Source organism: Homo sapiens, chromosome 11 (genome assembly GCF_000001405.40).
Source record: "Homo sapiens chromosome 11, GRCh38.p14 Primary Assembly".
Taxonomy (NCBI): domain Eukaryota; kingdom Metazoa; phylum Chordata; class Mammalia; order Primates; family Hominidae; genus Homo; species Homo sapiens.
In genome coordinates, this window is record NC_000011.10 from 18276697 (window position 1) to 18299004 (window position 22308).

The following is a 22308-nucleotide window of genomic DNA, read 5'->3' on the forward strand; positions in this document are numbered from 1 at the left end:
ACTGGTGGCAGTGATGGGATGTCAGTGGTTAGAGGTGAAGAGAGGAAGGTCACTTAAGTCTGCTGTAATGGGCCAGGCGCAGTGGCTCACGCCTGTAATCCAAGCACTTTAGGAGGCCAAGGCAGGTGGATCACCTGAAGTTGGGAGTTCCAGACCAGCCTGACCAACATGGAGAAACCCCATCTCTACTAAAAATAATAATAAATAAATAAAAACAACAACAAAATTAGCTGGGTGTGGTTGCACATGCCTGTAATCCCAGCTACTCAGGAGGCTGAAGCAGGAGAATCGCTTGAACCTGGGAGGCGGAGGTTGCTGTGAGCCGAGATGACACCATTGCACTCCAGCCTGGGCAACAAGAGCGAAACTCCGTCTCAAAAAAAAAAAAAAAAAAAAAAGACTGTGGCAATAGTCTAGGCAAGAAATAATGAGAACGTGAGCTGGTGGCAAGAGACAATGGGAAAAAAATGACTAATGGAAAACACCAGCAAGGTAGAATTGAAAGCAAGGTAGAAATGTACCTAGTCATTAGAAGTGAGGGTAGAGGAGGAGGAAGAGGCAAGGATGACTACTACAAGGTTTTGAGCCTTGACCAGGGCAATCACAAATTTAACACATGCAAGGAAATTATTAATTTCAATTTTCGTCTTCCCACTGTCTCTGGCTCATGTAAATCCAATGTCTATGGGTCTGATAACTACCAGGTCCAACAACGACATCCCAAACCTTTCTAACAATAGCTAACATTATTACCTATACGCTACATCACAGGCACTGTGCCCTACCATTTCCGTCTCCTTTAATTCTCACTAAAAAGGAGCTCTAACACCTCAACTCTTTCTTTGTGCTATTATCTCATCTAATCCTCAAAATACCCTGAATCAGAGCTACCATCATCCCCATTTTACAGATGAGAACACTAGAACTTAGAAAAACAAAGGAACTTCCCAAAGTCATGAAGCAAAAGAGAGAGTAGATATTCAAACCAAGGCAGTCAGCCTCAGAACACAAGCTCTCAGCCACTGTGATGCCCTGTAAAACAGCCGGTCAGATCTGTAAACAAAAGGGAAAAGGGAGGCAACCATGAATCACAATCTGCCTAGAACTTTCAGGGAAGCGAAAGAAAGATACAAGTTCTATTTAAAAACTAATACCCAAATAGACTGCAAGTTTAAATGTTTAACTGAAGGAGATTTTTTTTTTCATCTAATGTCATGAAGGTGATTTTTGTTTGTTTGCCTCGGAAAATAAATTCAAGTGACAAGATTTGTTTTTGTTATATTAGAAATTTCTCTCCATACCCTTTATCAAATGAGAATTGCTGTGCCTTGAGAAGGTCTGTGAAGAAATGATTGCACAATTGTGCCAGTTCATGCTGTCTGCTTGTCACGGGACTTCCTCTGGGCCTTCTAGTAGTGACTGTGCTGACAGTGGACAGGGGCTCTCACCCTTATCTCAGTATAGATGCACATTTCAACACAATCCAATATGGCCAAAAGGCAAATTATGCTAGTGGGAAGGTTTTCCATACTTCCCGGAATTCTAAGAATTCTCCTTTCCCTGACAATCTCTCTTTTTTTTTGGGACGGAGTCTCACTCTGTCGCCCAACCTGGAGTGCAGTGGCACGATCTTGGCTCACTGCAAGCTCCGGCTCCCGGGTTCACGCCATTCTCCTGCCTCAGCCTCCCGAGTAGCTGGGACTACAGGCGCCAGCCATCATGCCAGGCTAATTTTTTTGTATTTTTAGTAGAGACGGGGTTTCACCGTGTTAGCCAGGATGGTCTCGATCTCCTGACCTCGTGATCCACCCGCCTTGGCCTCCCAAAGTGCTGAGATTACAAGCGTGAGCCACCGCGCCCAGCCGACAATCTCTTTAACCCATATGGTTGCATCATATCTAGGAGTAATGTGTAAGTTTAACAGTGATTTGTGTCCATATTCTCTGGTTATGTTATAAATGCAAAAAAGAGTTGAATTGTTCAGTGCATCCAACACTTTACTTACTCCACACCTTTCTGCAAAATGCTCATAATAAACCTCCTGTCTACATTGTGTTCCAATGAAAACTTTAGTCATATTTTACATTTATTATTAATATAACATGCTATGTAAATGTACAGGAGCCTGACAAATGACAATCTACTTACATAATTTAAATAACACAAGTGCTTGCTGCAGTCTTTATTAGTACACAGCTTTGTTATGGCTTCTTAGAAATAATTTTAAAAAGTGCATGATTCTTGTGGGCTACTCTGTTTAGGAAAGATTACAGATAACACATTTCTAAGAATGAATTAGTCAGCTGTATATGGGTTCAGATTAGAAAATATTAAATAAATACAGGGAAAAATATTTTTAATTAGCTTAATTTATATATGAAGATATTTTATTTAATTTGTTTTTGAGACAGGGTCTTTCTCTGTCACCCAGACTGGTGTGCAATGGCACAAACACATCTCATTGCGGCCTGGACCTCCTGGCCTCAGGTACTATGCCTAGCTAATTTTTTTTATTTTTTGTAGAGATGCATTCTCACTATGTTGCCCAGGCTGGTCTTGAACTCCTGGCCTCAAGTGATCCTCCCGTCTTTACCTTCCAAAGGGTTGGGATTACAGGCCTGAGCCACTGCACCCAGTCCCATTTTACTTAAATATCAAATTCAAATCTTCAGTGTTCTACTTATTTTGGGTGTTAATTCCATTATACACCGTCTTATTTCAGTAATTTCCATATTGTGCCAGACAAGATATAAAAATAATTCAACTCCAGTCAATAATACCATCTGTCTTCATGTGACCAGGATGAAAAGCTTCTGCTCCCAACATGGAAGCCACAGTAAGAAAAGAATCTGTCTAATCCACTAGCAACAAGCAGTTAATACTGTAGTTCGGAATAATACTAGGACATTAACATTCTAATTCCAGCAAACAAGGACTGACTCTTTTCAAAATTCAACTTTGGTTAAGAAATGCTGAGTACAACTTTGGTTAAGAAACACTGAGGTCATGGATAAAGAGTCACAGATGCCGATGCCAAGGGTACAGACACTGACAAAAGTAGCCCCAATAAGATGGCAGGATTTGGGGGTGGTGTCTTTCCTTCAATAACAAATGCGTTCAGAAGGTTCAGGAGCATGATTTAGTTTTTCTCAAAATGTCATGACATCCTGCTGAATCTTCTCCCACTAGGCCTGCTGGGACCAGAGAAACCGATCGCATTTTTCAAGCATGCTTTGTATCAAGGCCCTGAAATCCCAAAGAAAAGAAACAAGCAAATTTAGTTGTCATTGTTCATTCTTCACAGAAAACTTAAAAACTACAGAGTTTCAGAGGATTCAAAAAGTTGACTGATTCTGTGCATTAAAAGACACAATGCACAGAGTGAAAAGGCAACCTACAGAATGGAAGAAAATATTTGCAAATCATGTATCTGATAAGAGGTTAATATCCAGAATATCAGAGAACTCTTACAGCAACAACAACGAAAACACCCAACCTGATTCAACATGGGCAAAGGACTTGAATAGCTATTTCTCCAAAGACAATTATATAAATGGTCAATAAGCATATGAAAAAATGCTCAACATCTCTAATCATTAGAAAAATGCAAATCAAAACCACAATGAGATATATAGTACCTGACACCCACTGGGATAGCTACTGTTTAACAAAAAACAACAACAGAAAATGACAAGTGTGGGGCTAGCACATGGAGAAATTGGAACTCTTGTGCACTGCTGGCAGGAAAGTAAAATGGTGCAGTCTCTACAGAACAGTATGGTGGTTCCTCAAAAAATTAAAAATAGAATTACCATATGATTCCAGAATTCCACTTTCAGGTATATACCCGAAAGAACTGAAAGCAGTGTCTGGAAGACATATTTGTATACTCATATTCATAGCAGCGTTATTCACAATAGCCAGAAAGTGGAAGCAATTCAAGTGTCTGTCAACAGATGAATGGATAAACAAAAGGTGGCATATATATACAACGGAATATTATTCAGCCTTAAGTAGAAAGGAAATCCTGACACATGCTACAACATGGATAAACCTTTAGGATGCTATGCTCAGTGAAAACAGGCTGGTCACAAAACGACAAATGTATTAATTCCACTGAGATGAGGTATGTAGAATAGTAAAATTAATAAAAACAGAAAGTAGAACTGTGGTTGCCAGGGGCTAGGTAGAGGAAGTAAGTTGCTGTTTAATGGGTGTGGAGTTTCAGTTTTGCAAAATGAAAAAGTTCTAGAGACTGGATGCAAAACAATATGAATAACTTAATACCACTGAGCTGAATATTTTTAAATTGTTAAGATGATAAATTTTATGTGTATTATACCACAAAAAAAAATTACTGAGACATTAGGTATCTGGTACCAGTAATTTTTTTTTTTTTTTTCAGAGTTTTGCTCTTGTTGCCCAGGGTGGAGTGCAATGGCGTGATCTTGGCTCACTGCAATCTCTGCCTGCTGAGTTCAAGCGATTCTCCTGCCTCAGCTTCCCGAGTAGCTGGGAATTACAAGTGTCTGCCACCATGTCCAGTTAATTTTTTTGCATTTTTTTTTTTTTTTTTTAGTAGAGACAGGGTTTCACCATATTGGTTAGGCTGGTCTCGAACTCCTGACCTCAGGTTATCCACCTGCCTCAGCCTCCCCAAGTACTGGGATTACAGGCATAAGCCACCGTACCCAGCCAGGTACCAGTAATTTTTTTGTTTTTGAGATGGAGTCTCGCTCTGTCACCAGGCTAGAGTACAGTGTCATGTTCTTGGCTCACTGCAACCTCCACCTTCCGAGTTCAAGCGATTCTCCTGCCTCAGCCTCCCAAGTAGCTGGGACTACAGGCACGTGCCACCACACCCAGCTAATTTTTGTACTTTTTTTTTTTAGTAGAGATGGGGTTTCACCATGTTGCCAGGATGGTCTCAATCTCTTGACCTCATGATCCGCCCACCTCGGCCTCACAAAGTGCAAGGATTACAGGCGTGAACCACCACGACCAGCCTGGTACCAGTAATATTTTTAAAGAATCAAGGACACATCAGATTATTCAGGTTAATCTGAACAGCATCTTGGTCATGGCTGTGAATGAAATATTACTTTAGCCTCTTCCCTTAATTACCACATCAGTCTCAGTCTCCTCATGTTAGTGATGGGTCGGGACTAAATGATCTCCACATCTACATCTGAAAGTCTGTGGCCTTCTACCTTCTCCAAGCACTATGCAGAGGGTAGGACAAACTGATATTACCTCTGCCTTTTCTCAGCAATCCTCAGGATATCGCAGGTTCTGGTAAACTTCTCTGACAACTCAAGGGCCAGACCACATTCCTGTAGCAGTGACCAAGCCCGATCTGGGCCCATGGCCTTAGCTAACAGAAGTGCCACATTCTCCACATTGATGGGGGAAGGCCCATCACTGAGGCTCCCATTTAGTGACTCCTGGGGGGCTGGCCTCGTGCTCTTGCTCTGTATGAGATGAAGGAGAAGCTTCCATTCCTCCACGGTCTCTGGGATCCAACCTAAACACACACAGGGAAGTGTCAGTTTGACCACTCTTAGCACACTGACTGGATACAGGAGATGGTCAAAACTGTGAAAATGTTTAATGCCAAAACGTAAAAATATTCAAGAACACAATCTCATCACCCTAACACAAGTTGTTTTCTGAAAATTTGTTGTATAAATTGTTCATGAGAAAGAGAAGCCACAAAATTAACTTTAATTTTTTTCTTTTTTTTTTTTAAAGAGAGACAGGGTCTCACTACCATGTTGCCCAGGCTGGTCTTAAACTCCTGAGCTCAAGCAAGCCTCCCACCGCAGCCTCCCAAAGTGCTGGGATTACAGGCATGAGCTACCACACCTGGGCAGCTTCAGAATTCTTTCAACCACTCAGTAATTACCCAGGGCATATCCTATGCTAAGCACTGGATATGTAATGATGAACAGAAGAGACACAATCCCTGTACTCTTGTGGAGCCTACAGTCTAGTATAGGAGACAAAACTTAAACACGTAAGTATATACTTATAAAGTATGCTAAGCACTATGAAAAAAAAGAACAAGGAAGCATCAGAGAGAATGGCTGATTCTGCCTGGAAGATCTGAGAAGGGCTCTATGAGGAAGTGACATTGAAGCAGAAAGCTAAAAGATGAGACAAGCTTAGAGGACATATGCATGGGGCCCACATAATGTGAAAACTTGGAGTAGGAGCCATCAGAAATAAGGGGCCTGCATTTCTGATAAAGGAAACATGGAAGACAATGTGACACAGGAAAGAACTTGACGAATTCAAGGAATTTTTCTTTTCCTTTTTGTTTTGAGACCAAGTCTTGCTCTGTTGCCCAAGCTGGAGTGCAGTGGTGCGATCTCAGCTCACTGCAACCTCCACCTCCCAGGTTCAAGCAATTCTCCTGCCTCAGCCTCTCAAGTAGCTGGGATTACAAGCATAAGCCACCATGCCCAGTTAATTTTTGTATTTTTAGTAGAGATGGGGTTTCACCATGTTGGCCAGGCTGGTCTCAAACTCCCGACCTCAGGTGATCTGCCCACCTCGGCCTCTGAAAGTGCTGGAATTACAAGCGTGAGCCACCGCGCCTGGCCAGAATCATCTTTAATTAATGGGAAATTAAAAAAAAAAAAAAAAAAGAGCCTAAGCACAAATTTTGGAGGAAGTCCTTGGTCTGAACCCCAGCTCCAGCATTTACAATTAGTAGCTGTGTGACTTTGGGCCAATTAACTGTCCCTTCTGTACCTCAGTTATCTGGAAAGTGGAAATAATAGTAACTATCCCCAGAGTTTGTTATCTCATTTAAAACAACATATGGAAAGCACACAGTATAGTGCCTAACACATAGTAGGCACTCATGAAATAGAAAAGTTGCCTATAGTTTATTCTTAATTGTGATTTCATAACATATCAAGGGCTATAGGTAAAAAACAAAAACAAAAACAAAAACTCCACAAATGTGACAACTAAGTGGAATCACATATTAAATATATGATCATTGAAAGGTTCACCAAATTTTTTTGTTGAGAGGTCTGGAGTAACTTCTAAAAATTGACAACCAAGAGTAACCAGTTAGGATTGACATACCATTGTCCCCTTCCATCAGGCTCATATCATTCAGATACACAATATTGGTGAAGGCCTCTCTTCTTCTCTCCAGCTCCAAACAGAGAATTAGATATCCAGGCCAGAAACTTTAAAGAGACCGAAGTTGAAGAAAGGAATAAAAGGCCATGAATTTATCTGGAGCTGTGCTGCCCAAAACAGTAGACACAGTCACATGTGGCTATTTCAATTTAAATTAATTAAAAGTAAATAACATCTGAAAGTCAGTTTTTCAGTTAATATATTCACATTTCAAGTAGTCAATGGCTACATGTGGCTAGTGGCCACCATTGGACAGTTCAGTAGAATATCTCCACTATCACAGAAAGTTCTATTAGATGACCCTGATCTAGGGAAAAAAAAAAAACAAAAAACCTAGCAACAAATGCTGACATTTGAGGCCAAGCTCCAATTATAAGGCATTTAAGCTTTATTCAATTTATAAACTTTAAAATTCAACACAAACCTAGCATATTTCTTCTCCAAATATGTAAACCTTGGAAGTCTTCCTTGACTCTTCCCCCTCCTTCATTTGCTATATCCAGTATCAGCATGTCCCACTGCATTTTCCTTTGAAATGCCCACTGGATGTGCTCCTTTTGCTGCCCTACTAATCACCAATCCACTCATATCTGAATTACTCCAACAGCTTCCTAGCTGGCCTTCTGTCTCCAGCCTTCTCATATATGACATCAGAAATGATCTCTAGAAAGCTCCACTTTCATTACACAATTTTTGCACCAAGTAGTTCAGTCTAAAAGGGTCTCTACTGATAACTAAATTATTCTACCAGCTTTCAAGGTCCTGCATGATCTTGTCACCCACCACCTGGCCAGACTCAGCCCTCATTACAATGAACAAATATGTATCAAGTGCCTACCACTATACAAATTAGATATAGACATTATGAGGGAAAAGAAAGACACAAGTTGCTATCTCCAAAAGATTATAATCCAGTTGGAGCCATAAGCCAGTATCACCAGGCAATAAATAACTGACTGAAGTGTGACATGGATAATAAGCAATGCCAGTTTTCCACGCCCTTGCTCTGTTTCTCTCACCTAACTCACCCTCTCCTGGCTCCTTTATAAATACAAATCCTACCCAGGTTTTAGGTTTTACCTCCAAAATCTCACCTCCTCCTTGAGTCCTTCACCAGCGATGCTATTGAGCCCATTTTGATCTCTCTCTTACTGTATTAATTATAAAAGTCTATCAATTATAATTGGTATCACATAATCTGGTGCTTAATTAAATACTATCTACATGCCTGAGAACTGGGGCTGGCAACTAAGCAGAGGGAGTGGAGGGGAATTAGCTAAGGCTATTTAAAAAAAAAAAAAAAAGAAAAAAGCAAGAAATTTAAATGGAAAAAAGATGTTTAATTTACTATCACTTAAAACAAAAAGGTACTTTTAAATAGCAAAGAGAATCCCCAAATATTAATGTGTATTAATTCAGACCCTTAACTATAAAGTTGTTAACTGAAATGTTTCTAACCTTAACTTCAGTTTCTAAAAAATTCTCACTTACCCACAAGACCTGCAGATGTCTGTCATTTTCTCTTTGGTTATAAAATCTGCAGGAAGTTTAATTAGATGAAGGATCAGCTGACTGTAACCCCAGGAAAGCAAGTGTGAATGAGGCCTATGAAATGAAAAGGAATCAGTAAATTAGATAGGAAATAAACTCTAGAAAATGCTTATTTATCACCTAATAGGTAAGAATAGAGTTTAACTGCATTCTATTACTACATTTTAAAAACATTGCTATTTGGCTTTTGAAAACTTAAAAATAGCTATTTTTCCTATAACCTGTTTATTTTTAAAGATTAGATACTTTAGGTAATCAAAAGCAAAAGAAATAAATTCTTTTTTCTTCTTTTAATTCTATCATTCCATCACTCACAGATAACCACTGCATATCCTTCCAGACTTTTTGCTAGGAATATAAGACAGGCATTTGGGGGTCTTTTAAGAAGCTTCTCCTGGGAGGAAACGCAAGCAATAGTTCTGACACAAGTACCAGTGTGTACTTTAATTTTATTTTATTTTTAAAGTCCTAGATCAGGTTATGTCTAAAAATTCCTTGACACATTTTTAGGAAGAAAACACATACATACCTATCTCCCTAACCCCCACACCCAGTTTTATCCTCTCACAGGCTTAATCACCAAGGTCTCTTAATGTGGGCCCATGAAAAACCTGCAGGCGGTCAGCTGTGCAAAGTTTTGCATGACTGCATTTTTCTAAAAGGAATCATCAGATTCTTATAGGGTGACCCCAAAAAATTTCAGAACCACTAAGAAATATACTTAATCTCATTACTACCATGACTTGGGTCAGTCTCTTCCATAGCTATTTCTAAAGTGAGCCCAGAATGCCATATGTGAATAAACCAGTTCCATTCCAAAGGAACACTGGAGCTTAATCCTTAGAAATAAGACTCCTAGCCAGGCACAGTGGCTCACGCCTCTAATCCCAGCACTTTGTGAGGCCAAGGCAGGTAGATCGCTTGAGCCCAGGAGATCGAGACCAGCCTGGGCCATAAGGCGAAATCTCATCTGTACAAAAAATTAGCCGGGCAGAGTGGTGTGCTCCTGTCTTCCCAGCTACTCAGGAAGCTAAGGTTGAAGGGTTTAATCACCTGAGCCTAGGAGGTCAAGGCTGCAGGAAGCCATGATCTTAGCACCACATTCCAGCCTAGGCGACAGAGTGAGATCCTGTCTCAAAAAAAAAAAGTAAAGAAAAAAACAAAGAAAGAGGACTTCTTCTGTACCTGGGATAACCTTCATCATCCATTGTGCTGGTGCTTGGTGGAGCATCAAGGGACACTGCCAAAAGCAGCCAATCCAACCTTAAAGACTCTGGTTGCAGAAGGGACTCAAGAAAAGATGACCTAAGAGAAAGTTGGGGAAAAAAGTCACCAATCTTCATGCTAAGAAAGGAAGCATAAAATGTGGGGAGTGTGAAGAAAACCTGATTAAGAGATGAATATAGAAGAAGAAATAACTTGAAAACTCTTCTGCTACAAAATGTCTAGAAATGCTGGTGACCAAGCTCCAAGATAACAAAGAAAATGTCAAAGGGCCAAAAAAGAAAAAAAAAAAGGGAGAGAAAGAGAGAGAGAAAGAAAGAGACAAATAAAAACCAGTGTGGCCAGAGTAGGAAGATCACTGAGGCCATAAGTTTGAGGCTGTAGTATGCTATGATCATACCCGTGAATAGCCACTGCATCCAGCCTGGGCAACATTGTGGCAAATGTGAACCAATCAAAAGAAGAAAGGAGGAAGCCGCTAGTCTAATAAGCCAGGGGCACAGGTCACAAGTGTTACAACCATGGGGAGACAGAAAATCAGACATCAGCCTAAAAAGAGAAGAGCTGGAACTGAGATCTATGTCAATAAAAAGGTGGCAGTGAATCTACTCACTGCAAAGACAATAAGAAGCTTATCTTCTTAGTTCAGGCCCTGAATCAAGGGATTAATTTTGCACTGATCTGAGAATCCCTGAGAGGCAGTGAAGAAGTGTGGTACATGCACATTTGTGATGTGTGCTGTGACATGTGGCAGAATGTTACAAGGCCTCCCAAATCCTCCTCTTCCATAGTATGTGCCTCAACCCCTTGGTAATTAACAGTACACAATGTGACACCTGCTTATAAAAGAGAAACAATGCCCTGTCAAAAGAAAGGAGAGTCTGCAAATATGCTCTCCTTCTCACCGCTGATCTTCAGGCCTTGATTTCACCAGACTGTCTAAATAGGCCAAAAACTCAGCAGGATGATGATGACAAAGTTGTATGATATCCGATGGCAAAATGGATGGAAAGAACTTGATTAAGGATCGAAGAGCAGACTCCCCAAACTTTTCATACAACCTGCATTTAAAAACAAAACACTTTAGTCTCTAATTTCAGTGAAATTATATAACTTGGTTACATTTAGGTTACTTATTACAAATGAAAATAAATATACTAACAGAAGCTGCCTCATATGCAAATGAGTAACATGTTAGAGACTAAAATACACAAAAAAATGCATGTGCTTTAGCTCATATAAACAATATACAGGACAACTTACCGGGTAGCATAAACAACCAACAACGGACTATCAAAAGGAACCTCGTCATCTAGTAACTTTAACCTTGTTGGTAGATCTCCTTTTTCCATCTCCATATACACAGGATTGGAACTTGCCATTTCTGAAATATAAAGCATATCCTTTTCCAAACTTTATCTCTTAGGCGGAAATATTCAATTTATGAACATGTTCATTCAGCAATCATTAGTCACGTACCTACTGTGTGGACCTATTATGTGCAAGGCCCAATATTAAGCATTACAAGAGAAACAAATAAAAGTACAAGAGATGTAATTTCTACTTTTAAGAACCTTAAAATCTAATTGGGAGGCAAAGCATATTAAAAGTTTTAAATAAGACGAAGGAACATATAATTAATACATCAGTGACTATTACTCTTAAAATAATGAGTATCTAGGCCTATATATAGCAACTGTCCATATAAGCACACATCAAAAACCAATATACATAGCTATCATCAATGCCAAGTTGCTCAGTTTTTTCTAGAACTAGTATTCCTACTCCATCTTTTAGAATTAAATTCAATGAAATTAATTTTAAAATATTTGACCTTTTTTTAAAGTTACCAGTATAGCAAATACTCATTCTCTGAAGAACAGAAGATTTGACTTTTTGGAATAGCCAAAAGTCACTTAAAATCAAGTCTGGTGAAAGGAGTGATGATCTAAAACTATTTGTGGTTTAAAAAAAAAAAGTATGAATCTAAAGTAAAGTGGGTTTTTTTCCAAGTAGTTTTCTTTTTTAGTTTTTTAGAAACAGGGTCTCATTCTGTTGCCCAGGCTGGAGTGCAGTGGTGATCACTGCAACCTTGAACTCCTGGCTGTGTGTGTGTGTGTGTGTGTGTGCAGCGACGGGGTCTTCCTACGTTGCCTAGCTGCAGTGCCTGTGTGCACACATGCGCACATGCGTGTGTGGAGAGACAGGGTCTTGCTACGTTGCCTAGCTGCAATACCTGGGTGTGTGCATGTGTGTGTGTGTAGAGACAAGGTCTTGAAACGTTGTCTAGGCTGGCATGTGTGTGTGTGTTTATATGTATGTGTGTGTAGACAGGGTCTTGCTACATTGCATAGGCTGGTGTGTGTGTTTTTGTGTGTGTAGAGACGGGGTCTTGCTACGTTGCCTAAGCTGGGCAAGTATTTTTCAACTGCCTCTGAAGACAAATCCCAAATAACAGTTCCAAAAGCTGTTTCCCATAATTATCACATCATTAGAAGGGTGAGGCCTACTCACCAGGTTCTAAGAGCCAACATTCATTTTCTGATACATGCTTTTTTAAAAAAGTCATTTTTTCCCCAGTCTCATTGTTTCCCATTTGACTGTGTCAGGCAATAAGTACTTTAAAGGAATTCAGAGGAGGAGGCCATTCAGAGGTTTGGGGAAGCCTGATGACTGCGCGGGAGCTAAACCAGACATATCCACCTAAATTCAAGTAAGCAGCCATATCACTCAAATTGCCCACCATGCTTCCTCTAGCCAGCACTGGTAGTAACAACTATCACTCTGGCTGATGGAGACTCTTTTCTGCTCTTCTGTGACTGGGTATGATCACATAATAGAGACAGATACAGTAAATTTCCAATGAGTAATAATGTCACACATTTGAACTTACCTGAGGAGAAATAGCTTGTTTCTTATTTCACACAAAAGACAATCTACCTCAACTCAGAAAAAAAAAAATTATTATGCTTTTAACTGCTATATTTGAATTAAAGCAGATCTGTAACTATAGATCCATGTTTCTAGAAAGCTAAAATATCTTTAAGTAAGATGACATAAAAATGTATCTCTATTCACTTTTGGTAATGAATGAAAAGTTGCTTAAAGTCTAAAGTATTAGAAATATGGCATCTGTTATTCAAGTAGGATTTGGAATTAAGAAAATTCACTTCTTCAAAAACATGGGACTATGGCTGCAGAAAGGGCAATGCATATAGTTTTTAGGGTATGATAGCTGGTTTCTATTATATGTCAGGATGACATATGCGACCTTCCGCCAAGGTAGATACTGCGGGCTATGCACCAAAGTCTCTGAGGCAGACATGTAAGCGAGCTCTTCACCTATATTCATTCTTTTCCTCCTGGACAGGTTACATTTCCCAGTTTCCTTTGCAGTTAGTTGTGGCTATATGACAGAATTCTCATCAATGGAAATGTACACAGAAGAGAGGTAAGCCACTACCAGGCCAGGCCTATAAGACAGCACTTTCTACATGCTTTCCCCAGACATAGCAACCCAAACATGACCACATCCCTTAAGGGAAGATGGAGCTGAAAATAATGGAAGGAACTTGGAATGCTAGAATGCTGAATTACCACCTGGGAGACAGCTACCCACTGACCTGGAATACCTGTCCTGGACTGTTACATGAGCAAGAAATACACTTCTATTTATGTATGAGTTACTTCATTATCAGATATTTATTACAGCAGTTTAGCTACCTAAGATCTCTCTCTGCCTCAGACTGCTTATCTATAAAATGGAATAACACCATCTACTCCAAACATTATTGTAAGGATGAAATGAGACAATGCTGAAAAGTGTTTACCATAATATCTGCCACACAATAAGTACCCCATATAGTATTTCTGTATTAGTAAGTTACATGAGAGATTTTCTTCTTTTAATACATCTGCATTTATAAACATTTTACTTTAACCTCAACTTCCCCAGCACTGCTCTACCATTTTCTGAATGTCATTATGAGAGAAATAAAACTAATTTCTAGGGCCAGGCATGGTGGCTCACACCTATAATCCCAGCATTTTGGGAGGCCAAGGTGGGAAGACTGCTTTGAGGTCAGGATTTCAAGACCAACCTGGGCAACACAGTAAGACCCCATCTCTATAAAAAAATGAAGAAATCAGAGGGTACAGTGGCACATGCCTGTAATCCCACGACTCAGAAAACTGAGGCAGGAGGATCGCTTGAACCCAAGGGATCAAGGCTACAGTGAGCCATGATCACACCACTGCATTCCAGCCTGGGCACAGAGTGAGACCCTGTCTCTAAAAATAAAAAATAGGGCCAGGCACAGTGGTTGATGCCTGTGATCCCAACACTTTGGGAGGCCAAGGCAGGTAGATCACTTGAGGTCAGGCGTTTGAGACCAGCTTGGCCGACATGGCAAAACCCTGTCTCTACTAAAATACAAAAATTAGCTGGGCGTGGTGGTGCACGCCTGCAGTCCCAGCTACTTGGGAGGCTGAGGCAAGACAATCACTTGAACCCAGGAGGCGGAGGTTGCAGTGAGCCAAGATGGCGCCACTGCACTCAAACAGAATGAAACTCTGTCTCAAAAAAAATAAAATAAATAAAAATTTAAAAACTAATTTCTTATAATCCAGTTGTGAATTTAACCAATGTCTGAAAGAACTATTAAAAGTTAAAATGAATGGAAAACAGAATAAAGGGTTGACCAGAACAGATGTGATTTTCTACTTAAATCTTTTTTTTAAACCCCAAAATTCAAAACTGCTAATGTTTTTTAATACGAATTTCTATCTTTGATAAGGCAATCTGAGTATTACCTTTCAATCCTTCAATAAAAGTATCCCAAACAGAAGGGCTATTACTGTAACTAAGCTTGATACTCTCCTTCGCTCTTTTCAAGTTCAGGAGAAAAAAGTACTTCTTCAGGAACTGGCAAGCCAGAATTTCAGGAGAGTACTGTTGCAAAGTGTGGTCCACATGTCCACTGGTGCTTTTGATCTTAGAATTCAATACATTCAACTCCAAACATAATGTTGTCAATTCAGCCAGGTCGTTCCGAAGACCACTTGCAATGGCGCATGGAGAACATATTTGAAACAGGTCATCCAAAGACTCCCTTGGACTCCTTACACATTCACATGCTGTTTTATCAACAGATTCTTCATTGCCTAAAGAGTCCCTTTTTTCTTTTTCATTATCTTCATCTAATATTCCCTTTTTTGATTCATTAACTAATAGCACATCCTGGTTCAATTTCATGGATGAGTTGTCAGTATCTGAAACACCTGAAAAGTCCTTCATGGCAAATGTTTTTTCTAAATGTGAAAGCCACTCCTGTAAAACCATTCTCAGAGACTCGGATTCAAATAAAACCAGAGGGTCCTGTAGCTTGGTCCTATACAAGACAGACAAGTATGAAATTCATGTGTCATGTGTTTTTCTTAAAACAAATTAATTCATGCTAATAAATTAACCTAACCAATGTAACATACTCATCTGGAATAAACGTTACTTTTCAACTCTTTAAATAAAAACTATCTCAACAAGATGACAAAACAGAGAACATAAACTTTGTAGTGTTTTACTTTTTTTTTTTTTTTTTTGAGATAGGGTCTTGTTTTGTCACCCAGGCTGGAGTGCAATGGCACAAACATAGCTCACTGCAGGCTCAAGTGATCCTCCCACCTCAGCCTCCTGAGTAGCTGGGAATACAGGTACATGCCACTACACCCACTACACACAGCTACTTTTGGTATTTGGGGTTTCATCATGTTGCCCTGGATGGTCTCAAACTTCTAAGCTCAAGCGATCCGCCCACCTCAGCCTTTCAAAATGCTGGGATTACAGTCATGAGCCACCACGCCCAGCCTACTTCTTCAATTTCAATTCCAAATGAGGCTATCTCTGCCCCAAACTGTCTCAGGACCACTACTGATGGACTCAGAAAGTCATTCCCATTCTGGGCTTGTGTGAAGGCTGCCAATCTTCTCAGTAGTTTTACACACAAAGCTAGGAATACTGGAAGTCAAATACCAAAAAATTAACATGAAGAAAATCTTATTGCTGCCAAGAATGAAAACTTCAGTGCCTGGGTTTTTCCTATTAGTCCTAGGAAGGCAACTTGGACTTAATAAAAGGAAAGACCATTTATAGCAACTTCTCTAATCAACTATATATTTCATACAAGGCCCATAAAAAACTTACAATATAATGATTCACTTCGTTTACTAAACTGCCTTGAGACGTCACTATAAAAGTTTCTCATTATACTCACATTGCTTCTGCTGTTGCTACTTTAAGCTCCTGGAACCTGTCTTCTTCTGGAGGTGGACTAGTTACCTCTTTTTCCTCCCTAAAAAAGTGTGCAAAATAACAATAACATTCACAAGAGTTAGAGGGGATCAGAGCTTTTTTTGAGACAGGGTCTCACTCTGTCACCCAGGCTGCAGTGCAGTGACGTGATCTCGGTTCATTGCAACCTCCGCCTCCCGGGTTCAAGCAATTCTCCCTGCCTCAGCCTCAGAGCTTTCTTAGACAAATATTTCTTTTTTCTTTTTTTTTTGAGACAGAGTCACGCTCTGTTGCCTAGGCTGGAGTGCAGTGGCATGATCTCCGCTCACTGCAAGCTCCACCTCCCAGGTTCACACCATTCTCCCGCCTCAGCCTCCCGAATAGCTGGGACTACAGGCACCCAGCATCATGCCTGGCTAATTTTGTTTTTGTATTTTTAGTAGAGATGGGGTTTCATCATGTTAGTCAGAATGGTCCCGATCTCCTGACCTCGTGATCCACCTGCCTCGGCCTCCTAAAGTGCGTGAGCCACCGCACCTGACCCTTGGACAAATATTTCTCATGCTTACTAACGGCAAGTATTATACTCATGTTACATAAGACAAATAGATGAATAGAAAAGGTGGTCCTTGGCCTCAAGGTGATAAGCTCCAGTAAGCTCTCATTAGAAAGAAAGGCATGCAAACAACTAAGTATAATTTAAAAAAAGAGTAAGTTGAACACCAAAGAGCAGCTCTTTAAAACAGCATTGTGATATGAAAGCAGAGAAGAAGAAATAATTTTTCTGAGTAGGGAAAGGGACATATTCCTAAGGAGGTATTATTTGTCTCACAAAAAATGGCGGGAGAATACTCTGGATAGAAGACATAGCATGAAGAAAGGTAGTGAAGTGTCAGTGTACACACTTAGTTCTCCGATAGGAGTGAAATTTATAGCACTTAGAAGGATGTGGCTAGAAAGGTAGCTAAGGTCAGATAGAAGGCTGCATTAAATGCCATGTCAAAAAATCTGTATTTTTTCTATAAACATATGGATTCACTAAGTTATTCTGAGGATTACAAATCTTTTATTTCATCTGACTGTCCAGATGCACTGGTCCCATGGGTTTCTCTCTTAATTCCTGGGTAAGTGCTGAATTTGTTTGCCTTTAATACCCAGATTCCCTGAACTATAAGGCAGAAGCCAGAGAGACAAGATACTCCACACTATGCCCAATTAAGGGCTCTGCTACAACTCTACTACACAAGGACCAGGCCACCAGCATATTATGGGAAGGTACCTGATAGGACATCAATGCCAACTGCTTGATCAACGTTGCCTAAAGAATCCCTTGTTTTCTTTTTCATTATCTCAATCTAATATTCTCTTTATTAGAGAATAAAGTATTATACTCATGTTACATGAGACAATTAGATAATATAAAAGGTGGTCCTTTTGCTATTGCTTGATGAGTCCTTGACTCATCAAATAATAGCACATTTTGGATCTTACAGGCCAGAGAGCATCAGTGACATTCCCAAAGTCACATACTAGTCATACGCAGAGCCAGGATGAGGTCTAGATCCTTGGTCATCCTACTCTTAATATAATACTCCTGTGAGATCCCAGAAGTTTGAAGAGATTATGGGGGAAGGAGGGGAGTTATGCAGGGGAAAGATGGAAGAAGTACTAAATTAAAACTCTGCTCAATAGATCTGCTTCGGGGTGATGTAATTTTTCAACACTTTGTGGAATTTCACAATTTTTATAAGCTACACAAACAATCTTCAATGAATGCAGACATACATGTGCCTTCTTGAAAAGGACATAGTCTATGGCACAGGTGTCCAATTTTTGGCTTCCCCGGGCCACATGGGAAGAATTGTCTTGGGCCACACATAAAATACACTAACATTAACAATAGCTGATGAGCTATTAAAAAAAAAAATCACAAAAAAACTCATGTTTTCAGAAACTTTACAAATTTGTGTTGGGCCACGTTCAAAGCCGTCCTGGAACACATGAGGCCCACGGGCCACAGGCTGCACAAGGTTGGTCTATGGCTTTCTTAAAACTGACAGCTGGATTCCCTAGAATGTATAGAGATTTATGTGTAAGGGCTTACTCAGTGTCTTCCTCCTTTGGGCAGGTATCTGAACTCACATCCTCTTCACATGATTGCTCATCACCCCTGAGCTCTGGTCTCACTTTCAGATCAGGGCTCGTGTGAAGGGTGCCAATCTTCTCAGTAGTTTTACGCACAAAGCTAGAAACACTAGAAGTCAAATAACAAAAAACTAACATGAATAAAAACTTATTACTGAGAAAACTCAGGTTTTCATTCTTCAGTTTTCTCCCTAATAAGTCCTAGGGAGGCAACTTGGACTTAGTAAAGACTGTTTATAGCAACTTCTCTGTTCAAATAATAGTATTTCACGTATATAAACTTACAATATAATGATTCACATTATTTACTAAACTGCCCTAAGAAATCAGTGTTTCAGCGCTAAAGAAAAGGTCTTTAACTCCAGCTGTATCTGTAATATTTCTGTCAACTTAGGCAAAGCCATGTGATCATCAGCCCCATTCTGGTCACAGAACAAAGAATTGCTTCATGTAAACTCAGCTGTTAACTAGTCACAATATACCCTTCTTAAGCAAAATTTGTATCCAGTAAGACTCAGATGAGCAGTTAAGTAGCTGCACAAAGTCTTCTCTCTTAAACTCAAATGTCAACCCTGGTCCCATGGAGTAGCTAGAAAAGAATTCTGAAAAGACTCCAAGTCTGAGCCCAAACTGACCATTAGAAAGGATCAGCTAAAGACTAATGATACGTGGAAACTATTACCATCAGAGATTTTTAATTTTTGATCTCTTGAGGGTGGGGGCACCTACATCTGCAACAACTCAAATACCAGCTGCTAAAACAGAGGGAAGCTAGACTCTCCCCAAGGTAAATGAGAAGTTAATAGCTCCATATGACAAGTTATATGGAAAACAAGAGACTTCCTTTTTCTCATTTTCCATTCTCAGCACAAATTACCTAATGTGAGAACTGAAATAAGATCAGTAATGGAATTAAATGACAAGACTAATTGGTTTACCTTTCTTTGACAGCCTGAAGAGACACAAGAGGAGATGGAGAACGAAATGGTAATGGAATGCCGAACGGGAGAAAAGTTTCATTCTTATCTGTCTCAAACATCACTGGAGCATGAGAAACATTGTCTAATGAATGGAATCAGGAAAAAAAGAAACAAAATCTAATCACGTGGGAGTTGTTTTAATCTTTAAAAAAATTCTGAAATGAATAAACCGAAAGAAATGAAGGATTCAATACCAAAATCACAACTGACCCAGAAACAAATGAGTGGAACACAGGTTTACAAAATGCATGGGATGGTCCACATAAAACACCGAGGCAGGTACCTTCATTTGCCTACTAACCCTGAGTCCCCATAAGTCAAAAAGGGAGTTTAGGATCTCTATTATTCTCTTCTCACTAGTTCAGCCACAGGAATACTCGCACATCGAAAAAGGAAGGCAATGACCCCCAAAAACTGCAGTAATTTTTCAATCCTGATGAAAAATAATTTGGTTAGTCAGAATAAAATCTTCCCACTCTTTTGGTTAATGACCTTTCTTTCATAACCTTTCCAGCATTTTGATGCATGATCAAAAACAGGCCCTAATGTTAGTCCAAACGTGAGGGGAAAAAATACTAAACATAAACCAACTCTTCTAGTAGGGGGCAGATCTGTAGATCTGGATGGAAAGTTCTATCAACATGTTAAAAATTATTAACACTTCAGAGAAATTCCGTGCACAAGATAATCCTGGTAACAGGAGCTCGTGGAAAATAATGGCTTCACATCAGGAACCAACAACAGACACATTCATCACCTTCATTTCCGTGTGAGCCACAACACTGATCTGGCAGGTCCTCTTCCTGCTGTGAGGTGAATTCTTTAAATCTCTCATCTTCTGAGAGGGTTTGGCTGTGAAGGGAGCAAGAGTCTTCATCTGACTGACTGCCTCTTCTACTACTAATGATACGATAAATACCAGAGTCCAAGATGCTGAAACTTTCCTAAAAATTAAAAGAATTCAAAAAAAAAAAAAGGTAAAAATTTCCTTTATAACGTTAATATAACTTCTGCAGAGAAATACCAACACTCAAATAGAAAGTTAATAACAACCATTATGGCTTATTAGAACAAACTGATGAGCAAGGCTTAGGTGCCTGGCAGCTGGGTCACTCCGTGTGCTAGTGGCATCAGCTGCCATATTTCTCTAGCTTGTCTTCATAAAGCTTGGTAGTGAGAATGGGGATTAAATGAGATAATCCAGACCTGCATTCAGGCTCAAATTAGCATGAAGCACCTAAAATCACATATTAGAGCAACGTAACTTATGCTGGGAGCTATATGAGTATATCAGGGAACAAAAAATAATAAACAATGACAAAACAAAATGTGGCTCCAAGACACACCTAAATGGAGGCTTCACAGAGCTGAGCCACTAGCTGAACAAAAGTTCACCCCTTCCCACCAAAAAACATAAATGGAAAGGACAACAAATTTGGGGATCCTAGAGGTAAATAAGAACAACCGAAGATGGAAAAATCTTACCCTACAAAATCCTTTAAAGGTGAGAATACTTACATGTGATGAAATGGAGCTTCTTCTACTGCTACAAGCTGAATCCAAAGGTTCAAATTTTAAGATCAATTCTTCCAGTTGAGAAATTAGATCATTGTAGGTGCCATGGTCCAGCTGAGATTTCAAATGCTCCAATTTATCTGCAGTCAAAGTTTTTCTTGCCTAATAAAACAACAGCGCAATGGAATAGCTATTTGTAGGTAAATCTATATTCAAATGGCCAATATATTGAAAGAGGTCTAGGCCGGGCACGGTGGCTCACGCCTGTAATCCCAGCACTCTGGGAGGCCGAGGCGGGCAGATCCCCCGAGGTCAGGAGTTCAAGACAAGCCTGGCCAACATGGTGAAACCCCGTCTCTACTAAAAATACAAAAATTAGCTGGGCATGGGGGCAGGCATCTGTAATCCCAGCTACTCGGGAGGCTGAGGCAGGAGAATCATTTGAACCTGGGAGGCAGAGGTTGCAGTGAGCTGAGATCACGCCATTGCACTCCACTCCAGCCTGGGGGACAAGAGTGAGACTTCATCTCAAAAAAAAAAAAAAGAAAAAAGAAATAAGTCTAATATAGAACATAAAACTTCAATGGTGCTTTAAAAAGGCTTAGCAAGCTGGAGAAAGATTTAATGAGAATTTTCTTAGGAATTAAGAATTTAAGGCCATGTGTGGTGGCTGATACCTGTAATCCCACACTTTGGGAGGCCAAAGTGGGCGGATCACTTGAGGTCAGGAGTTCGAGATCAGCCTGGCCAACACGGTGAAACCCCGTCTCTACTAAAAATACAAAAAAAATCAGCTAGGTGTGGTGGCGAGCGCCTGTAGTCGCAGCTACTCAGGAGGCTGAGACACGCGAATTGCTTGAACCCAGGAGGCAGAGGTTGCAGTGGGCCGAGATTGCGCCACTGCACTCCAGCCTGGGTGACAGAGCGAGACTGTCTCAAAATAATAATAATAATAATTTAATTAAAATTTACCATATACGCAATTATCCCCCTTAAAAACAAGTTCTGAAACAAATTTGTATGTAAATTTGATGTTTTAAATGAAAATTGTACCCTCTTTCTTACCCTCTATCCACCCCTAGATATATCTATCATGCTTTCTCTGGGCATGTATTGCTGTATCTGTAGGTCACACAGACAGGGTTAATAAAATCAAGCAACTTTGTAACACAATCTTGCAAGGTAGGAGAGTTTCACCAATCCATGGTAAAGATGTCTAGGTAAGCTCTGACTCACTCTGCTGGCAATGACAGAATTTTGGAAAAGACAGCATGTACGAGCAGCCAAGTTCCATAGGCCTCTTCTTAGCAGGCGTTCCACACAGCGCTCCACAGATATCAGGGAGAGATGTGAGACTTTCCCATTTAGGTGCAAACAGAACAATTCATTCCTACAGACAGCCACATCCTGAATATCTACGAAAACCACAGGTGTGAACATACAAAATGT

At 40.0% G+C, this 22308-nt stretch overlaps 1 protein-coding gene across 39 annotated transcripts in view, besides 3 other annotated features; it reads right to left on the bottom strand.

Annotated features, from left to right (window-relative positions):
- Window positions 817–1017: a silencer, noted in NCBI's record as "peak1223 fragment used in MPRA reporter construct". NCBI's record gives its function as "represses an SCP1 promoter by STARR-seq MPRAs in K562 erythroleukemia cells {active_cell/tissue: K562}" and the evidence as "EXISTENCE:reporter gene assay evidence [ECO:0000049][PMID:32103011]".
- HPS5 (HPS5 biogenesis of lysosomal organelles complex 2 subunit 2) overlaps window positions 1974–22308 on the bottom strand; it is a 43505-nt gene continuing 23170 nt past the window's right edge. For 18 of the 39 annotated variants that reach the window (NM_001440929.1, NM_181508.2, NM_001440915.1 and 15 more), the window contains 14 exons: window positions 22096–22274; window positions 20863–21021; window positions 20102–20288; window positions 19303–19426; window positions 18324–18473; window positions 16203–16280; window positions 14746–15323; window positions 11197–11317; window positions 10839–10994; window positions 9895–10014; window positions 8650–8763; window positions 7099–7205; window positions 5254–5524; window positions 1980–3246 (listed from right to left, as the gene is read on the bottom strand). In NM_001440929.1, coding sequence (NP_001427858.1) covers window positions 3186–3246; window positions 5254–5524; window positions 7099–7205; window positions 8650–8763; window positions 9895–10014; window positions 10839–10994; window positions 11197–11317; window positions 14746–15323; window positions 16203–16280; window positions 18324–18473; window positions 19303–19426; window positions 20102–20288; window positions 20863–21021; window positions 22096–22274 — 2405 coding nt within the window. In that variant the 3' untranslated portion in view covers window positions 1980–3185. Of the gene's footprint in view, window positions 3247–3812; window positions 3947–5253; window positions 5525–7098; window positions 7266–8252; window positions 8310–8649; window positions 8764–9894; window positions 10015–10838; window positions 10995–11196; window positions 11318–14745; window positions 15324–16202; window positions 16281–18318; window positions 18474–19302; window positions 19427–20101; window positions 20289–20862; window positions 21022–22095; window positions 22275–22308 lie in introns of those variants that run through there. The other 21 variants (NM_001440921.1, NM_001440920.1, NM_001440903.1 and 18 more) reach the window with 11 other exon arrangements.
- Window positions 5897–5956: an enhancer, noted in NCBI's record as "active region_4493". NCBI's record gives its function as "activates an Ori minimal core promoter by ATAC-STARR-seq in GM12878 lymphoblastoid cells {active_cell/tissue: GM12878}" and the evidence as "EXISTENCE:reporter gene assay evidence [ECO:0000049][PMID:35858748]".
- Window positions 5997–6056: an enhancer, noted in NCBI's record as "active region_4494". NCBI's record gives its function as "activates an Ori minimal core promoter by ATAC-STARR-seq in GM12878 lymphoblastoid cells {active_cell/tissue: GM12878}" and the evidence as "EXISTENCE:reporter gene assay evidence [ECO:0000049][PMID:35858748]".